This window comes from Homo sapiens, chromosome 11 (assembly GCF_000001405.40).
Source record: "Homo sapiens chromosome 11, GRCh38.p14 Primary Assembly".
NCBI lineage: Eukaryota > Metazoa > Chordata > Mammalia > Primates > Hominidae > Homo > Homo sapiens.
The window spans coordinates 72,872,842-72,889,377 of NC_000011.10; the positions used below are offsets into that span (position 1 = coordinate 72,872,842).

Here is a 16,536-nt window from a genome sequence, read left to right on the forward strand (position 1 = left end):
AAGTTTAACCATCTGGGGAAATACTAGACTGTTTTTCAACGTGGCTTTATCATTTGATCCCACCAGTAGGGTGATGAGGGTTTCTCCACATCCTGGCAAATGCTTGTTAATGTCTGTCTTTTGACTCTAGCCATGCTAGTGGATATAAAGTGGTATCTTACTGTTGTTTGCATTTTCCTGGATAACTATTAATGTTACAAATCTTAGGCCAGGCACGGTGGCTCATGCCTATAATCCCAGCACTTCGGGAGGCTGAGGCGGGCAGATCACCAGGTCAGGAGTTTGAGACCAGCCTGGCCAACACAGTGAAACCCCATCTCTACTAAAAATACAAAAAATTAGCCGGACACGGTGGCGGGTGCCTGTAATCCCAGCTACTCAGGAGGCTGAGGCAGGAGAATCGCTTGAACCTGGGAGGTGGAGGCTGCAGTGAACCGAGATCGCGCCACTGCACTCCAGCCCAGGCAATGGTGTGAGACTCTGTTTCAAAAAAAAAAAAAAATGAATCTTTTCATGTGCTTATTTATGGGTCATTCATACATCTTCTTTGGAGAAATGTCTATTCAGACCCTTTTCCCATTTTTAAGTTGAGTATTTTTGCCTTTTTATTATTATGAGTTTTAATATATTCTAGAAGTAAGTTTCTATCAGATACATGATTTGCAAATATTTTCCCCCATTCTGTGGGCTGTCTTTCATTTTCTTGATAGTGTCATTTGAAACATGAAAGTTTTAAATTTTGATGATGTCTAATTTATCTAGTTTTTCTTTTGCTGCTTAGGCTTTGGTGTTATATCTAAGAAACTAATCCAAGGCCACAAAGACTTACCCCTGTGGTTTTTTTTGTAAGTTTATTAGCTTTCGCTGTTACATTTAGGTATTCATTTTGAGTTAGTTTGTATATATGATGTAAAGTGGGGTTGTTAAGATAATTAACTGGAAGGTCATTAAACTGAGGCAGCTCCAGCATCCCGGGTTCCTACGTAAGCAAACCAAAACTCAACTCAGTATAAATGGTAAAACAAAACTGAAGCTTAACCAATCAAAAACTGCCAACTACCTTCTAACTAGAAACCTTCCACTGGAATGATCCAAAAAAGGATACTACCGTGCCACTTTAACCAATCAAATATTTGCTTTGTTTTGCTTCTGAGTTCACCCTATAAAAGCATTCCTCTGGTGTTCCATTGGTGGAACCCTGAACTGCATATGATCTGGTGCTGCCCAAGTAATTATCACTATTTTCTCAAATAAAAAAAAATTTAATGTGCCTAAGTTTATCTTTTAACAGGGTCAAACTTCATTCTTTTGCATATGGATATCCACTTGCCCTAGCACCATTGTAGTATGCTTTTGCTTTTTTAAGAGACAGGGTCTCACTGTTGCCCAAGCTGGAATGCGGTGGTATGACAATAGCTCACTGCAGCCTCGAACTGCTGGGCTCAAGTGATCCTCCTACTGTAGCCTTCCCAGTAGCTAGGACTACAGGTGCATGCCACCATGCCTGGCTAATTTTTTAAAATTTTTTGTAGAGACAGCTGTCTCACTATGTTGCCTAGGCTGGTCTTGAACTTCTGGCTTCAAGTGATCCTCCTGCCTCAGCCTCCCAAAATGCTGGGATTACAGGTGCGAGCCACTGTGCCTGACCTCTAGTATTCATTTTAAAACAATGAAATGTTTTTATTTTTGTTTTTTAAAAGAGTGAACCAACAAGCTCTTTCTTAGAAATCACATATGCAAGTCATTTAATTGCTGAAGCAGAAAAGAGAGAAGTATTCACTACATTCTATTTTCTCAAAGCAGTTATTCAAGTAATCCAGTTTTTATAAGATTTTGTCAGTATTTTATCAAACAACAGATAAACATGGTATTTGCCAACTCAGATTTAGACTGCAGTCCCAGAATTAAACACTGCTATCTTCCCTTTAGGATTTCAGTTGCTTATAAGTTAAAAATTGTCTAAAAGCAGAACTTTCTAGTGTTTTCAAATGAATTTTCATGATTTGCCAACTTATTAAAAATTTTCAGAGTATAGCTCTCTGTAAACTTGATGGCATTCCAGATACTACTTGACCAAATCATTTTTGGAAGCTTTAAAGAGACAGAGCTTTTAAAAATAGTATTTTAAAAATCCAGATCTTTTAGGATACATAATCTTGGTTTATAAACACAGTCAATTACCTAGATTTTAACACAACATTTAACATAAACACATATAAGTGTAAAGCTATAGTTGAATTTCAAGTCTGTAAATCTAATTTGGACTAATTCATTTGCCTTTAACATATCTCTTCTCTAAGGACAAGGACTGTGTGTAATGTATTACTATTTAGGACAGTGGTTTACTTGTAGAATAGAATCAATAATGGTAGATAATAGTATTTGCTACTCCATCTTTGGTACCTTAAAAAAAAGCTCCAAACAGCTTTTATCATAGGTACTAGGAACTATATCATCATATATTTCATTTAATTCACAAAACAATTCTAGGGGTCAATATTATAAACTCTATCTATCTATCTAGCTAGCTATTATTTATTTGACAGAGTCTCGCTCTGCTGCCCAGGCTAGAGTGCAGTGGTGCAATAATAGCTCACTGTAACCTTGGATTTCTCCTGAGCAGTTGGGACCAGAAGCATATGCCACCACATCTAATGTTAAAGTTTTTTGTAGAGATGGGGTCTTGCTATGCTGCCTGGTTGGTATCAAACTCCTGGCCTCAAACGATCCTTCCGCCCTCCTGCCCTGGCCTCCCAAAATGCTGGAATTAGAGGTGTCAGCCACCATCCCTAGCCCCAAAACTCCATTTTATAGATGAGAAAAATGATTTAATCAAGGTCACACCAACTGTGGTAAACCATTATATTAAAGGTTCCCAAATAATCATGCTTCCTGGTATCCATGTAGTCCACTCCCACCATGATTCTGGGCTTGTCCATGTGATTTGCTTTGGCTAGTGGGGCATTTGCCAATTTAATGGAAACAGAGGACCCTCAGTAAGTGCTATTTGGATCTGACTTCTTGAAATATGCTGCCACCATGCTGGGGAAGTCCAGTTTAACCTATATGCTGATGAAAGACCACATGGGGAAAAGACCCAGCCATCACAGCTGAGCCCAGCCCTCTGGCCAGTCCTCTAGCTGAAAGTAATTGCTTGAGTAACCTCAGGCAAAACCAGCAAAAGAAATGACTAGTTGGCTTGGCACAGTGGCTGACACCTGTGATCCCCACATTTTGGAAGGCTGATGTGGGAGGATTGCTGAGCCCAGGAATTCGAGGTTTGAGGCAGCCTGGGCAAAATAGCAAGACCCTATCTCTATAAAAAAGGAAAATAAAATATTAGCTGGGTTTGGTGGTACATGCCTGTAGTCCCAGCTATTCGGGAGGCTGAGGTGGGAGGATTGCTTGAGGCCACGAGGTTGAGGCTGCAGTGAGTTGTGCCACTGCAGTCCAGCCTGCGAGACAGAGTGAGATGGTCTCAAAAGAAAATAAAAGAATAAAAGGAAATGCATAGTCAGCACCCAGAATGGCAACAGATAATAAACCACTGTTATTTTTGCCATAAAGTTTGGGATGGTTTTCAAAGGCAGCAACAGATTACTGTGTTTGAACAACATAATCTCCAATTATTTGGGTATTTTCTAGCCATCTTTCTATTATGGATTTTTAATATAAGCCTAATTAATCAAGAACTTACTATGTATAATATCAATCCTTTTAAACTTATTGAAACAGGTTTATGGTCCAGTGTATGGTCTTGTTGAATGTTCTATGTGTACTTTAAAAGAACATATATTCTACTCATATGCAGTGGAGTTCGATGAATGCCAATTAGGTAAAGTTGGTTAATGATGTTGTTCATCTTCTATATCCTTACTGATTTTCTATATTCTTGTTCTATCAATTACTGAAAGAGGGATCCTAAAGACTCCTACTACAATTGTAGATTTGTCTAGTTCTTCTTTCAGTTCTGCCAGTTTTTGCTTTATGTATGTTGTAGCATTATTATTATATATACGTCCAGGATTTTAATATATTCATGATGAAATGTCTTTAAAAAATCATTATGCATTATCCTTTTTAATATTCCTTGTCCTAAAATGTATTTTGTCTAACAGTAATATGATCACTTCATTTTTTTTTTTTTTAGACAGGGTCTGGACTTTGTTGTCTACGCTGCAGTGCAGTGGTACGATCACGGCTCAGTGCAGCCTCAACCTCCAGGCTGCCTCCAGTGCAGCCTCATCCTCCTACCTCACCTCAGCCTCCTGAGTAGCTGGGACTACAGGCGTGCACCACCATGCCCGGCTAATTTTTGTATTTTTTGTAGAGATGGGGTTTTGCCACTTCAGTTTTTTTAATGATTAGTGTTTGTTCTCCTGTGATAAGCAACAGCTAAAATTTCTCCTGGATTTTTTTGCCTTTCAGTTATTGTTTCCTGCCAAGCTCCTTAGAGTCTCTGTTCCAAAGGACATCCACCTTCAGGCCAGTAAGATGGAGGTTCTGCTTAAATTCTGGTTGTGCTGCTCCTTACAGATGCAGGGCTATATAATGGAAATATCACTAAGTATAGTCTTGTTCTTTCAAGGAGAAATTCCTCTCCAGGTTTTACATGCTTTGGGTCATTTTCCAGCTCTATTAAATAATTTTTGTTTTAATATTTTTACCCCAGATTAATATTGTCATCTAAAATAGTCTTATATAAGCTAGTAACCTATTACAAGAAGCAGAAAGTCTCTTAGAGATATATTTATTCTACATTCAAAGAGAATTATAAAGAAATCTAAAACTTTCAATAGTTTACTATTAATAGCAATATTTATGTTGTAGTTCTGAAAGTGCTTAATATATACTGCAGTTATTATTCTATAATATACAAAGCAGGCTGGGCATAGTGGCTCATGTCTATAATCTCAACACTTTGGAGGCTGAGGCATGCAGACTGCCTGAGCCCAGGAGCTCAAGACCAGCCTGAGAAACATGGGGAAACCCTGTCTCTACAAAAAATGCAAAAATTAGCTGGGTATGGTGGCACATGTCTGTAGCCCCAGCTATTCGGGAAATGGAGGTGGGAGGATTGCTTAAACCTGGGAGGTGGAGGCTGCAATGAGTGCCACTGCACTCCAGCCTGGGTGACAGAGACACTGTCTCAAAAAAAATTTTTTTAAATATATAAAGCAAATAAAATATTAGATAATATGATTAGGAATAAAACTTTTTGGTGTAAGGCAAAAAGAACATAAATAAATGTAAAATCAAAGAAATCAAATAAGTTCAATAAAATCCCTCTGGCTGGGCATAGTGGCATGCAGTTGTAGTCACAACTATTTTGGAGGCTGAGGCAGGAGGATCATTTGAGTCCAGGAGTTCAAGGCTATAGTACACTATGATTGTGCCTGTGAATAGTCACTGCATTCTAGCCTGGGAAATATATTGAGACCCTGTCTCTAAAAATAAGTAAAATCCCTCTAATTGTCCATGTTAATTGGAAATATCAACATGAACTCATGACTTAAAAAAAGTTATCCCTAGCTCTAACAACAAAGAAAAGATAAAAAAGAAAATGACACTTAGAACAATAAGCACCTTCACAGCCCAGGCCTTAGTGTCTAAATACCATTTTCTATTAAGAGAATCAGAGCTTCTTGGAGAAACAGCTAATTCTAAGTCTGGGCAGGAAAAATATAAGGTGAACACTGTGATAGCTTGTTTTACTAGGAAGAAAGTATTCAAGGACTAACGGGGGTAATGTCAAAAGTACACAGAAGTCAGTTGAATGGACTCCCAGTTTTAGATAATATGGAACTTAAAATGACAACTGGAATTGATAATATACTAAATAGATAAAAATCTATAATAAGTTGAAATGATGTCAGGTGGAACTCCAGGAGGAGAGGCAAACAATAACTACTAAGAAAAGAATATCTACAGTAGAGCTATGAACTGAAAAATTCCTAGAGCTTGTACAGGGTTGAAAGACATTAAAACTCTGTGGTGGCTCATGCTTGTAATCCCAGCACTTTGGGAGGCCGAGGCGGGCAGATCACTTGAGGTCAGGAGTTCGAGACCAGCCTGGCCAACATGGTGAAACCCCGTCTCTACTAAAAATACAAAAAAAATTAGCTGGTTTTGGTGGCGGGCACCTGTAATCCCAGCTACTTGGGAAGCTGAGGCAGGGGAACTGCTTGAACCCAGGAGGCAGAGGTTGCACTGAGCAGAGATCATTACCACTGCACTCAAGCCTGTGCGACAGAGTGAGACTTTGTCTCAAAAACAAAACAAAACAAAAAAACAAAAAAAAAGATATTACAACTCTATCCAGCCAGAGTTGAGAGAACTTGGTGTATACCCACGGCATTAGTATAGGGCTAATTTCTAATTTATCTCTACATTAACCCAAACAAAGCTTAAAAGCAAGCTTCGAAATGATCAAACTGATCTGCAAGTAACTGACCTGGCAGCCAAAACAAAACTCAATAGTCTTTATAAGAAGAAAATAGAATCTAGAAACTTAATAACCAAACAGTCACTATGTCTAGATTCAGTAAAAACTTAGTAGGTATTTGAAAAGCAGAAAAACATGAGCCAAGACAAAAATCAGTCAATAAAAAGAATGAAATGACAGAGATGATGGAATGAGTAGACAAGAACTTTAAAATTGCTGTTATAAATATACTTAGAGGTTTAAAGAAAAACATGAAGATAAATAGGAATGAACTAGAAGATAAAAGAAGAACCACATAGAACTTATAGAGCTAAAAATATAACATTTGAAATAAAAATTCACAAGATGGCCTTAACAGTAGTTTATACACTATAGAGGAAATATCCATAGGTTTTAATAGACACTAATAATAACTCATCAAACTGAGACTGAGATAAAAAATAAGGCCAGATAAAAATGTGTGGAATGAGCTTTGCATATGACATGTAGGATAATATCAAGTGATTTAATATTCATGTAATTGAAATCATAGAAGAGGACAGAAAACATATATCAAGGCATAATGGGCCAGGCTCAGTGGCTCATGCCTGTAATCCCAGCTACTTGAGAGACTGAGGCCGAACAATCGGTTGAACCCAGGAGGCGGAGCTTGACGTGAGCCGAGATCGCGCCATCGCATTCCAGCCTGGGCAACAAGAGTGAAATTCTGTCTCAAAAAAAAAAAAAAAAAAAAAAGTAATCCTATTTAAAATAGCTACCCAAACCAAACCAAAACAAGACAAAAACAAACAAACAAACAAAAACCACCCAAAAAACAAAAAAACAAAAAACCCCAACCCCAGGAATAAATTTAACCAAGGAAGTGAAAGATCTCTACAAGGAAAACTACAAAACACTGATGAAAGAAATTGAAGAGGACAAAAACGAATCCATGTGCAATTGCTATCAAAATCAATGACATTCTTCACAGAAATAGAAAAAAAAATCCTAAAATTTGTATGGAACCACAAAAGTCCCTGAATAGCCAAAGCAATTCTGAGCAAAAATAATAAAGCTGGAGGTAATACACTACCTGACTTTAGTAACCAAAACAGCATGGTATTGTCACAAATACAGACACACAGACCAATGGAACAGAACAGACATCCCAGAAATAATGTACTTATAGCCAACCAATTTACAAAGGTGCTAAGAATTTACATTGGGGAAAGGACACCCTCTTCAATAAATGCTGCTGGGAAAACTGAATATCCACCTGCCAAAGAATGAAACTAGATCCCTATCTCTCACCATATATAAAAGTCGGCTCAAAATGATTAAAGACTTTAAAAATAAACCCAATATTATGGCTGGGCACAGTGGCTCACACCTGTAATCTTAGCACTTTGGGAGGCTGAGGCGGGTGGATCCCTTGAGCCCAGGAGTTCGAGACCAGTCTGGGCAACATAGCGAAACCCCATCTTACTAAAAATACAAAAACTCAGGTGGGAGGATCACCTGAGCCTGGGGAGGCCAAGGCTGCAGTGAGCTGTGACTGTGCCACTGCACTCCAGCCTGGGTGACAGAGTGATACCCTGTCTCGAAAAAAAAAAAAAGAAAACAACAACAACAACAACAAACAAACACCCACACTATAGAACTAGTACAAGAAAACATAGGGGAAATGCTTCTGGACATTGGTCAAGGGAGATTTTTATGGCTGAGGCTTTAAGGCCACAGGCAACAAAACAAAAAACAGACAAATAGGACTACATTAAATTAAAAACTCTATGCAGCAAAGGAAACAAAAGAGTTAACAGATGACCTACAGAATGGAAGAAAATACTTGCAAATTATTCATGCAACAAGGGACTAATATACGGAATATACACGGAACTCAAACAACTCAATAGCAAAATACCATGTAATCTTATTAAAAATTGGGCAATGGATGTGTAACCACTTTTCTCAAAAGAAGACATAATGGCCAACAGGTATATGAAAAAATACTCAACATCACTTATCATCAGTAAAATGCAAATCAAAACCAGATATCAAAACCAAAATCAGATATCATCTTACCCCAGTTAGAATCACTATTTATCAAAAAGACAAAAAATAACAAGTGCTAGTGAAGATGCAGAAAAAAGGGAACTGTTATACACTGTTGGTGGGAATGTAAATTAGTACAGCTATTATGGAAAACAGCATGGAGGTTTCTCAAAAGACTAAAAATAGAACTACTATATGATCCAGCAATCCCTCTTTTGGATATTTATCCAAAGGAAAGGAAATCAGTGTATCAAAGTCATACCTTCATCCCCTGTTTATTACAGCACTATTCACAGTGGCCAAGATGTGGAATCAACCTAAGTGTCCATCAGTGGATTAAGAAAATGTGATATATACACACAATGGAATACTATTCAGTCATAAAAAAGAATGAAATCCTGTCATTTGCAGCAATATAAATGGAACTGGAGGTCATTATGTTAAGTGAAATAAGCTAGGCACAGAAAGACAAATATCACATGTTCTCACTCATGTGTGGGAGCTAAAAAATGTTAATTATAGAAGTAGAGAGTAGAGGCTGGGGCCGGGTGCGGTGGCTCACGCCTGTAATCCCAGCACTTTGGGAGGCCGAGGGGGGCGAATCATGAGGTCAGGAGATTGAGACCATCCTGACTAACACGGTGAAACCCCATCTCTACTAAAAATACAAAAACAAAATTAGCTGGGTGTGGTGGCGGGCGCCTGTAGTCCCGGCTAGTTGGGAGGCTGAGGCGGGAGAATGGCATGAAGCCGGGAGGAGGAGCTTGCAGTGAGCCGAAATCGCGCCACTGCACTCCAGCCTGGGTGACAGCAAGACTCCGTCTCAAAAAAAAAGAGAGCAGAGGCTGGGCATGGTGGCTCATGCCTGTAATCCCAGCACTTTGGGAGGCCAAGGCGGGTGGATCATGAGGTCAGGAGTTCGAGACCAGCTTGGCCAACATGGTAAAACCCTGTCTTTTATTACAAGTAAAAAAATTAGCCGGGCGTGGTGGCGTGTGCCACTGCACTCCAGCCTGGGTGACAGAGCAAGACTTCGTCTCAAAAAAAAAAAAGTACAGAGTAGAATGATGGTTATCAGAAGCTGGGAAGGATTATGGGGAAGGAGAAGAAGAGAGATTGGGGAATAGAAGCAAACAGTTAGATAGATGGGATAAGTTCTGGTGTTTGATAGCTTAGCAGGGTGACTAGTTAATAATTAATTCAAAATAACTAGAAGATTTGAAATGTTCTAAATATAAAGAAATTATAAATGTCTGAGGTGATAGATATCTTAATTACTCTAATTTGATCATTATACACTGTATGCATGTATCAAAATATCACATGCATCTCATAAATATGTACAATTATTTTGTATCAATAAAAAATTAAGAAGCCAAAAAAGGAAACAGAGTGCCTAAATAAATAGAGAGACACATCATGTTCATGAATTAGAAGACTCAATATTGTTGAGAAGTCAATTCTCCTCAAATTATTTGTGGATTCAATGCAATCCCAATCAAAATGCCCGCAGTCTTTTTTTGTAGAAGCTGATGGCAATGAGAATAGTCCAAATAATTCTAAAACAAGAATAGTGTTGGAGGAATTATACTATCTGATTTCAAGACTTACAATGTCATTAAGACTGTGATACTGGCATAAGTACAGACATATAGACCAATGGAACTGAATAAAATTGAAAATATTCATACACATATGATTAGTTGTTTTCAATACGGGTGCAAAGGTAATGGGAAAAGCATACTCTTTAAAATATGATGGTGGAACAACTGGCTATCTGTATAGGAAAAAACAAAACAAAACAACAACAAAAAAACCAAACATGACCCTTAACTCATACCAGACCTCAACAATTTAACTAGAAATGTTTAGGACCACAGTCCACAAAGAAAAGCTTGAACTATAACACTTCTAGAAGAAAACATGAGAGGACATATCACAACCTTGATCAGGCAAAAATTTCTTAGAACACAACACTAATCATAAAGGACAAAATTCATAAATTAATCTCATCAAAATTAAAAGTTTCCAATCTAGAAAATGAAAAGGTAAGCCAAAGACTGGAGAAAATATTTGCAGTACATGTACCTAAAAAATGACTAGTATCCAGAAAACATAAATTGTTATAACTCAGTAATAAGACCAATCTAAATTTGGGCAAAAGATATTAACAAATACTTTACTAAGGGGGATATATGAAGGGCTAAAAACTTATAAAAAGATGCTCAGCATAGTTAGTTAATGTCACTAGTCTGTAGCCAAATGCAATTCAAAACCACAGTGAGATACCATTACACACATACTCAAATGGCTAAGTTTAAAAAGACTGACAAGTCGGAGGCAGTGGCTCACGCCTGTAATCCCAGCACTCTGGGCGGCCAAGGCAGGCAGATTGCTTGACCCACGAGTTTGAGACCAGCCTGGGCAACATGGTGAAACCCCATCTCTACAAAAAAATAGAAAAATTAGCCAGGCATGGTGGAGTGCGCCTGTATTCCCAGCTACTCGGGAGGCTGACATGGGAGAATCGCTTGAGCCCAGGAGGTTCGGGCGGCAGTGAGTTGAGATCGTGCCACTGCACTCCAGCCTGGGTGACAGAGTGAGACCGTGTCTCAAAAAAAAAAAAAAAAAATTTTTTTTAATGAGGTCATAATAATACCCAAGAAAAAAAAATACCCATTCACCACCACTGGAGGTGACTAGCACTTGGTAATTGCAAAGAGGAAAGAATCTTTATCATGGAAAGATCTGGTAGCACACCACCTTATTAAGAGACCACTCTTAGTATCATTAATAGCAGGACAACTTGATATTATGATTCTTTATGTGATGAAAAACATCACATCATCTACGAACTATTTCTGCCTAAAACACTAACCTGCCTCTAATCAGGCCTTAAGACCTAACTTCCATTTTATACAACACAGTTAATGGGTCAATCTAACAAACACATAAAGCCAGTATTGCAAAATATAATAGTTGAATCTAGATGTTAGGAAATACATGTTTATTCTTCATATTTTCTGTATGTTTGAAAATTTTCAGTAAAAAAATAAAAGTGATTAGTCAAGAGGTCTGCTAACATAGCATGAATACAGTGAAACCTCACAGTAACAGGCCCAGAGGTAATATAAATTTGGAAATAATGTGATTAGAAATATATATATATCTGTGTGTATGTTATATATATCATATATATAATCATACATAGTTTATATATAAGATCATATATATAGTTTATATATATGATGATATATATAAAAGATCATATATATATATATAAAAGATCATATATATACACACACATACATATAGTCTTGCTCTGTTGCCCAAGCTGGAGTACAGTGGTCCAACCATGGCTCACTGCAGACCAACCTTCCAGGATCAAGCCTCTGCCTCCCAAGTAGCTGAGACTACAGGCACATGTTAGCATACCCAGCTAATTTATTTTCATTTGTAACAGAGACGATGTCTCATCTGTTGCCCAGGCTGCTCTCAAACTCCTGAGCTCAAGTGATCTTCCCACCTCAGTCTTCCAAAGTGATAGAATTAGAGGCATGAACCACTGCACCTGGCCTAAAAATTTTGTTTTAATAGCAGGGTCACTCTTGTCATTAACTTTGCAATAATGAGGACTCACATTTTATATAACCAGTGTTCTCTCTTTTGTATAGGTATTTATAATAAATAAAGTATCGATAAAAACGAAAAACCACTGCAAATGATATACAGGCAGAAGAAAGGAAAAGGGTATGTGCAGAAACCATTATTGTTAATTCCTTTGAAGACTCTCATGGTCTAGTCCATCCAAAAATTTTATTATGATAATCCTGTAAGTACTACCCCAATAAATATGCCCTCATATTTGCTGGCTAATTTTACTTAGGCTATTTTTTGTATCTGTTAAGTGGAAACCAAGTGAGATTATTTTATGCTAACAGTAAAATTAATTAAATGCTACAGATATTCAAAACTGAGAAAACGGATCTGCTACAATGGTTTTAGCATACTATATTCAACATTTTTGATAAGAAAACTATTTTTGAGAATGTAGACTTAAATACTTGCATTAGAAGAGGTGAGACATCGTGGTATGAGAATTTCACTTCATATTTTTAGTTTGAAACTAACAAACACAGTCTAGTTTGGCATACTATGGAAATAATAGGTCATCTGGCCTAAATGAAGACTCTGTGTGCCTGATACCTACTACTGCTACTACTGGGGATGGCGGGAGGTTTCGTGGAGTTAGGGTACCAGTCGGTGATACCATGCATGGGGTCTGGAAATGGAAAATACATGAAATACCCCTCAGAAAACCTCTGAGACTTGTCTTAAAATAATTACTCCTGTTCCACCAAGGCTCTGAAAAACTGGCTTCATCTAGAGTGCGGAGAAACAAACAACAGGAATAACTCTTCTACCACAGGCCAGTGTTTCTTAGAGTAGATGAGGGCTTGCCAACACTACTTGGCCAGCACCCTAAGATAGTGGTTTAGACATGACCCTGAATTCAAAGAGAAAAATGACTATTCATTGTACACCCTGCCCTCCTCACTATGGTGGCTGTCAATTAGACTGTGAACAGGAATGAAGTGGAGGTGGGGTTACTGGGGTTTCTCCAGCCCAGGCAGATGGCAAGCCTGTTCTGATTCAGATCACTTCCATGGGGCTGTACCAAAAACATGCTCATATTCTCTATGCTTGCCTACGCTGCCTCTCCCTTCACCCCACAACCAGTGAAGCACTTCCTCAAAACCTCTGGAGTTCTAAGGGGGTGTTAGAAAACCATTAGTTTAGTTTAAACCTAAACCAGTGCAGGGATTCCTTGTATTGGGTCCCTGAAAGATGCTTGCCCAGAATCTTCTTACATACTTATAGGGCTGCACTATGTCTCAGGAGTGCTTATTCTGTCTTTGGGAAGATCTGACTATTAGAAAGTATTTCCCAATACTAAACTCACATCTCCTTCTTTCCTACCTTCATCTTTTGGTTCAAATTCTACCTCCTGAAGTTGCATGGCATAAGTCTGTGCTATCCCCTTTTCTCTGACTAATCAAATACTATTCATCTGCCAGCATTCATCTTAAGTCTTCTTCTGTGTTACACCCGCAACAATCCCTCCCAGAGTGATTTCTGTGGCCTCTGGGTTCTTCAACTATACTTAATGCACCACTCCTCGGCAGTTATGCTTTACCATCTTAGTGATTTTTGGCATTCTTTATGCCTTTCTAACAAGAACCTAATCTTTTAATGGCTGGATGGTGTCAGTCTTTTATAAATGTCTACCTCCATACCCCTTCACCACATTGCTGCTGAGTAGATAAAAGTGTGTGCACAGGTCCTCCATAAACTGGCCCTAACCACAACAAGTTTACTTACTTTCTACCACATTTCCTCACAAAAATCCTCCACTCTAATCATATCCAGCTACCAAATTATACTCTGTGTCTTCCTCCTTTGCTAATACTTTCTTGTTTCCTATCCCAACCTCTCCCTATCTAGAGCAGGGAGTATTAGCCTCAGGCATAAGAACTCTAAACACTACACAAAATGTACATTTTTGTGTGTGGGAGAGAATGTTTCACAGCTTTCATACAACCCTCAAAGGTCCCATGACTCCACAAAAAATTAAAATCCACTATTATAAATTTTTTCCCATCTCTGCTTAGCCAAATCTTCCCTATTCTTAAAAGCCCAGCTCATGCCCCTGGATCCAGGGAACCTTCCATATGGGGGAGATTTCCTAAGCTCTGAAAATATATATATATATATGAATATATGTCTCCATAGATATTGATATATAAGGAGATATATATATATATCTAAATTGATATATATACATCATTTTTTCTACCATTAATCTCTGTGGTTTATTATGTACCTTTTAGAAACTTTAAAATTAGTATCTTCATTGTGACTTAAATCTTTTGTATTTAATGTTTCATGACTGTAAACTTTACAGCATCTTTTTGTTATATGTACTGCCTTCCACAGAGCAGGTACTCAACAAATACTACTGTGGACACGAATGAAGACGGTGAATCACCTTCATCTCAGTGTGTGTAGAAACTCAGTTTTAAAGATGTATATCACAGCTGTGACAGTGTCATTAGACCTGGGCAAAATGCCACAATTAGCTGCCACCTTACCTCTGCTTTACGAATATTTTCTCTAGCTTCATCTATTTTCTGTTCTAGCTCTGCTCGGCTTTGTTCTGATACAGCAGCTCCATGACACTCCAGATCATTTAGAACCTATTAAAGAAAATGGGACAATAATGATGACTGTTTTTTACTTTTCATCTTCCTTAAGTGATTAAAGTATTTACATAATTCAAAGGGCTTTAGTGACTAGTAGCCATAATTTTTTTTCATTTATTTATTTTTTGAACATTTTGAAATAATTATAGACTTACTAGTAACAAACTTACTACAGACAGTCCCTTCAGTGGGGAAGCCAGGACCAGCCACTATCTGATTGCCGCCACATGAGAGACCCCAAGGGAAACTGCTAAGCTGAGACCATCCAATACTCAGATTAGTGAGAGATAATGTAAAAACCCTCTTGTTCTATGGCATTAAGTTTGAGGTGGTTTGTTAAGCAACATTACATAAGTGGAACACTGAATTTGAGACACCTGTGAGATAGTGAAAAGAAGATGTCAAAACAGGCAAGAGATTATATGGATACACAGTAGTAGCAAGGCCCAATGTTGAAGATGTTAATTTATGATTTGGTGGTAAAGTAAAACCATGGAAGTGACTGAGAATGCCTATATGAGGGTAAAGAATAAGAAAACAAGATAGCCAAGTATAGGAATCTGAGAAACTGAATATTTCATTGTGGGATGGAGAAAGAGGAACCCATGAAAAAATCTAGGTATGGCCAGAAAGGCAGAAGGAAAGCCAGGACAATGTTGAATCGTGGATGACTAGAGAAGATAACATTTTAAGACATGGAATTGTTAATTGTGATGAAATTGTTGACAGATTAAGAAAAATGAGAAATCAAAGTGTCCACTTGGAAGCTAGCAACACAGACATCATTGGCGATTTTGGTAAGCTTAGACAGGGGAAGGAAAGGACAGGAAAGCTCAAATGTAATGGGCTAAAAAGTAAGTGGGAGGTGAGATTCTATAGATAATAAGCATAGGCAATTCTTTTAAGAAGCAGGATGTGAAGGCAAAGAATGAGACGGATATAGGTATCAATAAATGAAACAGAAAAAAAGTACTATACTCCAAATAATTTCTTTGTGCTTAGAGTTTAGTCTTCGAGATATATTTTCTTTCTTTCTTTCTTTCTTTTTTTTTTTTGGAGACAGGGTCTTTCTCTGTCACCCAGTCTGGAGTTCAGAGGCATGATCTTACCTCAATGTAACCTCCACCTCCCGGGCTCAAGCAATTCTCCCCAACCTTAGCCTCCCGAATAGGTGGGAAGATAGGTGTGCGCCCCCATGCCCGACTAATTTTTGAATTTTTTGTAGACACCGGGTTTTTTGCCATGTTGCTCAGGCTGGTCTCAAACTCCTGGTTCAAGCAATCCACTTGCCTCAGCCTCCCAAAGTTCTGGGATTACAGGCGTGAGCCACTGCGCCCAGCCAAACATATATTTTCATGAAATCTATAATTGTGTCTTTCTTTTTTCTTTTTATTGAGACAGAGTCTCGCTGTCGCCCAGGTTGGAGTGCAGTGGCGTGATCTCAGCTCACTGCAAGCTCCGCCTCCCAGGTTCATGCCATTCTCCTGCCTCAACCTCCCGAGTAGCTGGGACTACAGGTGCCCGCCACCACACTCGGCTAATTTTTTGTATTTTTAGTAGAGATGGGGTTTCACCGTAACACATGTTAGCCAGGATGGTCTCGATCTCCTGACCTTGTGATCCACCCACCTCGGCCTCCCAAAGTGCTGGGATTACAGGCGTGAGCCACCGCGCCCGGCTATAATTATGTCTTTTAAAAAATATGTCTTGAGGGATGAAAACTTATATTAATTCAACATATGTCTCTTCCCCTGCCCATAATACACTATCACAATTTTCTTTGTTAATTTTATGGTA

General features: G+C 38.3%; 1 protein-coding gene across 5 annotated transcripts in view; it reads right to left on the reverse strand.

The window, feature by feature from the left end:
- FCHSD2 (FCH and double SH3 domains 2) overlaps positions 1-16,536 on the reverse strand; it is a 305,574-nt gene that overhangs the window by 36,097 nt on the left and 252,941 nt on the right. For all 5 annotated transcript variants that reach the window (NM_014824.3, XM_011545409.2, XM_011545410.3 and 2 more), the window contains one exon: positions 14,629-14,733. In NM_014824.3, the coding sequence (NP_055639.2) occupies positions 14,629-14,733 (105 nt within the window). The remainder of the gene's footprint in view (positions 1-14,628; positions 14,734-16,536) is intronic.